This window comes from Homo sapiens, chromosome 8 (genome assembly GCF_000001405.40).
Source record: "Homo sapiens chromosome 8, GRCh38.p14 Primary Assembly".
Lineage (NCBI taxonomy): Eukaryota > Metazoa > Chordata > Mammalia > Primates > Hominidae > Homo > Homo sapiens.
This window is the reverse complement of record NC_000008.11, coordinates 56269948-56275878: the sequence shown is the minus strand read 5'-3', so window position 1 is coordinate 56275878 and position 5931 is coordinate 56269948. Positions and strand designations below refer to the sequence as shown.

Genomic DNA, 5931 nt, shown 5'->3' with positions numbered 1-5931 from the left:
GCTTCCCTGCGATGGGTTAGAACATGCTCCTTTAGCTTAGAGGTATCAGGGAACCAGCCCCCAATATTTCAATATAGGTTCTTTCTATTTTTCCCTAAGTGTCGGCCAGTCTGAGAAATAAAGAGTACAAAGAGAGAAATTTTACAGCTGGGCCTTCTGAGGTGTCATCACATATTGGTAGGACTGTGATGGTGACCTCGAGCTGTAAAACCAGCAAGTTTTTATTAGGGATTTTGAAAGGGGAGGAGGTGTACAAACAGGGAGTAGGTCACAAGGATCACATGCTTCAAAAGGCTGTAAAGATCACAAGGCAAAGGCAAAATTAGAATTACTGATGAGGGTCCATGTCCCGCTGTGCATGCATTGTCTTGATAAACATCTTAACAGGAAACAGGGTTTGAGAGCAGACAACTGGTCTGACTTGAGAGCAGACAACCCATCTGACTAGAATTTACCAGGCTGGAATTTCCCAATCCTAGTAAGCCTGAGGGTACTGCAGGAGACCAGGGCATATTTCAGTCCTAATCTCAACTGCATAAGACAGACACTCCCAGAGCGGCTGTCTACAGACCTACCCCCAGGAATGCATTCCTTCCCTGGGGTCTCAATTATTAACATTCCTTGCTGGGAAAAGAATTCAGCGATATTTCTCCTACTTGCACTTCCATTTATAGGCTCCCTGCAAGACAAAAAATATGGCTCTATTCTGCCCAACCCCACAGGCAGTCAGACCTTATGGTTATCTTCCCTTGTTCCCTGAAAATTGCTGTTATTCTGTTCTTTTTCAGGGTGTACTGATTTCATATTGTGCAAACACATATTTTTTACAATTAGATTTCATATTGTTCAAACACATGTTCTACAATCAGTTTGTCAATAGTGGTCCTGAGGCAACATATGTTCTCAGCTTACGAAGATAACAGGATTAAGAGATTAAAGTAAAGACAGGCATAAGAAATTATAAGAGTATTGATTGGGGAAGTGATAAATGTCCATGAAATCTTCACAATTTGTGTTCAGAGATTGCAGTAAAGACAGGTGTAAGAAATTATAAAAGTATTAATTTTGGGAATGGATAAAAGTCCATGAAATCTTTACAATTTATGTTCTTCTGCCTCAGCTCCAGCCGGTCCCTCTATTCGGGGTCCCTGACTTCCTGCAACACAGAGGAGTTTGTTATTACCCATCTTCTGCAGCCTATTTCTGTCAATTTGTCAAACTCATTCTCTGTCCAGTTTTATGCCCTTGCTGGAGAAGAGTTGCGATCATTTGAAGAAGAGACGTTTTGATTTTAGGAATTTTCAGCCTTTTTGCACTAGTTTTTCCTCATCTTCCTGGATTCATCTACCTTTGATTTTTGAGGCTGATGATCTTTGGATGGGGTTTCTGTGTCGGGGTCCTTTTTGCTGATGTTGACGTTATTGCTTTCTGTTTGTTAGTTTATATTGTAGCAGTCAGGCCTCTCTTCTGCAGTTTGCTGGAGGTCCACTCCAGACCCTATTTGCCTAGGTATCACCAGCAGAGGCTGCAGAACAGCAAAGATTGCTGCCTGCTTCTTCCTCTGGAAGCTTCATCCCAGAGGGGCACTGACATGATGCCAGCCAGAGCTCTCCTCTGTGATGTGTCTGTCGACTCCTGTTGGGAGGTCTCTCCCAGTCAGGAGGCACTGGGGTCAGGGACCCACTTGAGGAGGCAGTCTGTTCCTTAGCAGTGCTCGAGCACTGTGCTGGGAGAACCCTCCTTGTTAGGATCTGCTGATCTCTTCAGAGCAGGAAGGCAGGGATGTTTAAGTCCACTGAAGCTGCGCCTTCCCCCAGGTGCTCTGTCCCAGGGAGATGTGAGTTTTATCTTTAAGCCCCTGACGGGGGCTGCTGCTTTCTTTTGGAGATGCCCTGCCCATTGAGGAGGAATCTAGAGAGGCAGTCTGGCCACAGCCACTTTGCTGTGCTGTGTTGAGTTCTGCCCAGTCCAAACTTCCAGGCCTCCTTAGTGTTGTCAGGGAAAAACTGCCTACTCAAGCCTCAGTAATGGTGGATGTCCCCCTCCCCCACCAAGCTTAATTGTACCAGGTCAACTTTAGACTTCTGTGCTGACAGTGAGAATTTCAAGCCAGTGGTTCTTAGTTTGGTCGACTCCATGGGAGTGGGACCCGCTGAGAAAGACCACTTGGCTCACTGGCTTCAGCACCCTTTCCAGGGGAGTCAACAGCTCTGTCTCACTGGGGTTCCAGGCACCACTGGAAACTCCTGTGCTAGCTCAGTGTCTGCCTGAACAGCTGCCCAGTTTTATGCTTGAAACCAGGGCCCTGGTGGTGTAAACACATGAGAGAATCTCCTGGTCTGTGGACTGCAAAAGCCATGGGGAAAGTGTAGTATCTGGGCTATATAGCACAGTCCCTCACAGCCTCCCTTGGCTGGGAAAAGGAGACCCCCCTACCCCGCTCCTTGCACTTCCTGGGCAAGGTGACACCCCACCCTGCTTCTGCTCGCCCTCCATGGGCTGCATCCACTGCCTAACCAGTCCCAATGAGATGAAGAGGGTACCTCAGTTGGAAATATAGAAATCACCTGCCTTCTGCATTGGTCTTGCTGGGAGCTACAGGCTGGAGCTGTGCCTATTCTGCCATCTTTCCCAGCAATTCAAGAATGTATTAAACGTGATCTGGGTACAATGGTGTGAGCCTGTAATCTCAGCTACTTGGGAGCCTGAGGTGGAAGGATCACACTTAAGCCCAGGAGTTTGAGTCCAGCCTCACAACATAGCAAGACCCCTTCTCAAACCAATAAAATCATGTCATATATTAAATGTGAAAAGCAAGGAATACTATATTCACTTTTTCAAAGGTAACAATTTGGGCTCTCCCTCTCCCTCTCCCTCTCCCCACGGTCTCCCTCTCCCTCTCTTTCCACGGTCTCCCTCTGATGCCGAGCCGAAGCTGGACGGTACTGCTGCCATCTCGGCTCACTGCAACCTCCCTGCCTGATTCTCCTGCCTCAGCTTGCCGAGTGCCTGCGATTGCAGGCGCGCGCCGCCACGCCTGACTGGTTTTCGTATTTTTTTGGTGGAGACGGGGTTTTGCTGTGTTGGCCGGGCTGGTCTCCAGCTCCTAACCGCGAGTGATCCGCCAGCCTCGGCCTCCCGAGGTGCCGGGATTGCAGATGGAGTCTCGTTCACTCGGTGCTCAATGGTGCCCAGGCTGGAGTGCAGTGGCGTGATCTCGGCTCGCTACAACCTCCACCTCCCAGCAGCCTGCCTTGGCCTCCCAAAGTGCCAAGATTGCAGCCTCTGCCCGGCCGCCACCCCGTCTGGGAAGTGAGGAGCGTCTCCGCCCGGCCGCCATCCCATCTAGGAAGTGAGGAGCGCCTCTTCCCAGCCGCCATCACATCTGGGAAGTGAGGAGCGTCTCTGCCCGGCCGCCCATCGTCTGAGATGTGGGGAGCACCTCTGCCCTGCCGCCCCATCTGGGATGTGAGGAGCCCCTCCGCCCAGCAGCCACCCCGTCTGGGAAGTGAGGAGCGTCTCCGCCCGGCAGCCACCTCGTCCGGGAGGGAGGTGGGGGGATCAGCCCCCCGCCCAGCCAGCCGCCCCGTCCAGGAGGTGAGGGGCGCCTCTGCCTGGCCGCCCCTACTGGGAAGTGAGGAGCCCCCCTGCCCGGCCAGCCGCCCTGTCCAGGAGGGAGGTGGGGGGGTCAGCCCCCCACCCAGCCAGCTGCCCTGTCCGGGAGGGAGGTGGGGGGGTCAGCCCCCCGCCCGGCCAGCCGACCCATCTGGGAAGTGAGGGGCGCCTCTGCCTGGCTGCCGCCCCTACTGGGAAGTGAGGAGCCCCTCTGCCCGGCCAGCTGCCCCGTCCAGGAGGGAGGTGGGGGGGGTCAGCCCCCCGTCCAGCCAGACGCCCCATCCGGGAGGTTAGGGGCGCCTCTGCCCGGCCGCACCTACTGGGAAGTGAGGAGCCCCTCTGCCCGGCCACCACCCCGTCTGGGAGGTGTACCCAACAGCTCATTGAGAACGGGCCATGATGACAATGGCGGTTTTGTGGAATAGAATGGGGGGAAAGGTGGGGAAAAGATTGAGAAATCGGATGGTTGCCGTGTCTGTGTAGAGAGAAGTAGACATGGGAGACTTTTCATTTTGTTCTGTACTAAGAAAAATTCTTCTGCCTTGGGATCCTGTTGATCGGTGACCTTACCCCCAACCCTGTGCTCTCTGAAACATGTGCTGTGTCCACTCAGGGTTGAATGGATTAAGGGCGGTGCAAGATGTGCTTTGTTAAACAGATGCTTGAAGGCAGCATGCTCGTTAAGAGTCATCACCACTCCCTAATCTCAAGTACCCAGGGACACAAACACTGCAGAAGGCCACAGGGTCCTCTGCCTAGGAAAACCAGAGACCTTTGTTCACTTGTTTATCTGCTGACCTTCCCTCCACTATTGTCCTGTGACCCTGCCAAATCCCCCTCTGCGAGAAACACCCAAGAATGATCAATAAAAAAAAAAAGAAGACACATTCTAAAACATACAAAAATAGAAACAAAAAACAATGAGAGCTAAAGGTGAAAAACAGTACCTTAAAAACACTCTTGGATTTTATTGGTTAATAATGCAAAACGCTTTTTGATCTCATTAAAAATTAAAGAAGGATATTTTGGGAAGAGCAATGAAAAAAAAAAAACAATTTGGGATTTCTCAGGCATCTTCATTATAGTTAGAACAAGTTTCAGATAAAAGACAACTCTTCTGAGTTGTGCTGTTGAAAATGTTCTCCACTCTGAGCTTCAGCACTGTGAAGGATTAAACTCCTATTCAGCAAATATTCATTCCCTTCTTCTTCAAGGTTCAGGCAGAGTATAATTCCATGCTTCATTGACCTTGGACTTGGTTAGGTAAGGTGTCTTGCTTTTGCTTTGGACAGAGGAGCTTCAGTGAAAATGATGTAAGCAGATGTCTTAAGAGGCATGGCAATAGGCTGACTCACACCCTAAAGCAAAGCCTCTCCTGTAAGCAAAAAAATGAATACATAAACAAATGCTTATCTTTGTAATCCCTAGAGCTTTGGGGTGGTTCCTTGTGCAACGTTATTGGGCAATAGCTGGCAATTACAAATATTATTTACATTGTCTAAGTATGATTCTAGGTAAAGACCATTCACCTGAAAGTAGCTGAGCTGTCAAACCAGAAGATGTGGAGCTCCACCTTGAAAAGACTTGGATGAGATTATTCACCTAGAGAATGACCTGTTTTGTAAGCCTGGAATTATATAGATTACACTGAATCTTATGAAACTGAAGGCTCCATAGATTACCATTGGCTTAGCTTGATTTTATCAATTTTATCGATTTTATCAATGTGCCATGTACATCACACCTGGAAACCCTAAAAAATGACTTTGCCCTTGTTCTGTACCTTATAGAGAATCTACAGTCATTTTCTAGTTCACACCACACAATTCCTATCTTCAAATATCCTGCAGCCATATTCTACCCTTAACACAAATAACATGTCCAAAGTTTATCTGTAACTGACACTAGTTGTGAAAGAATTAGGAAAGGAAGTTTGGGCCCAAATAAGACAAATGCAAAATAAATAAAATCAGCCACAGGGAGATGCAGGCAGTTTCCAATCAACTATTTCCCAAACGGAAAGATGACTTGAGCAAATGTTGCTGCTGTCTATAGCAAGCACATGACAGTTGAGAGAAGGCTGAGGTAATTGGACACTTGATTATATATATAATTGATTATGTATATAATCAATGCCCAGAATTACACTTAGCAACTGTGGTATAATAAATAATAATAAATAATATTTGGTCTTTGTTCCCAGTTCCAGGCCCACAATTCCTATAATCCTTGGCAATTTAAGCTTTTAAATAGGAATGGGAAACAAGGTATTCTGTGACTCAGAGATGGAGCCATTGATGAAAACAGAAGAATCAA

General features: G+C 48.4%; 1 annotated feature.

The window, feature by feature from the left end:
- Window positions 4943–5143: a silencer, noted in NCBI's record as "peak7027 fragment used in MPRA reporter construct". NCBI's record gives its function as "represses an SCP1 promoter by STARR-seq MPRAs in K562 erythroleukemia cells {active_cell/tissue: K562}" and the evidence as "EXISTENCE:reporter gene assay evidence [ECO:0000049][PMID:32103011]".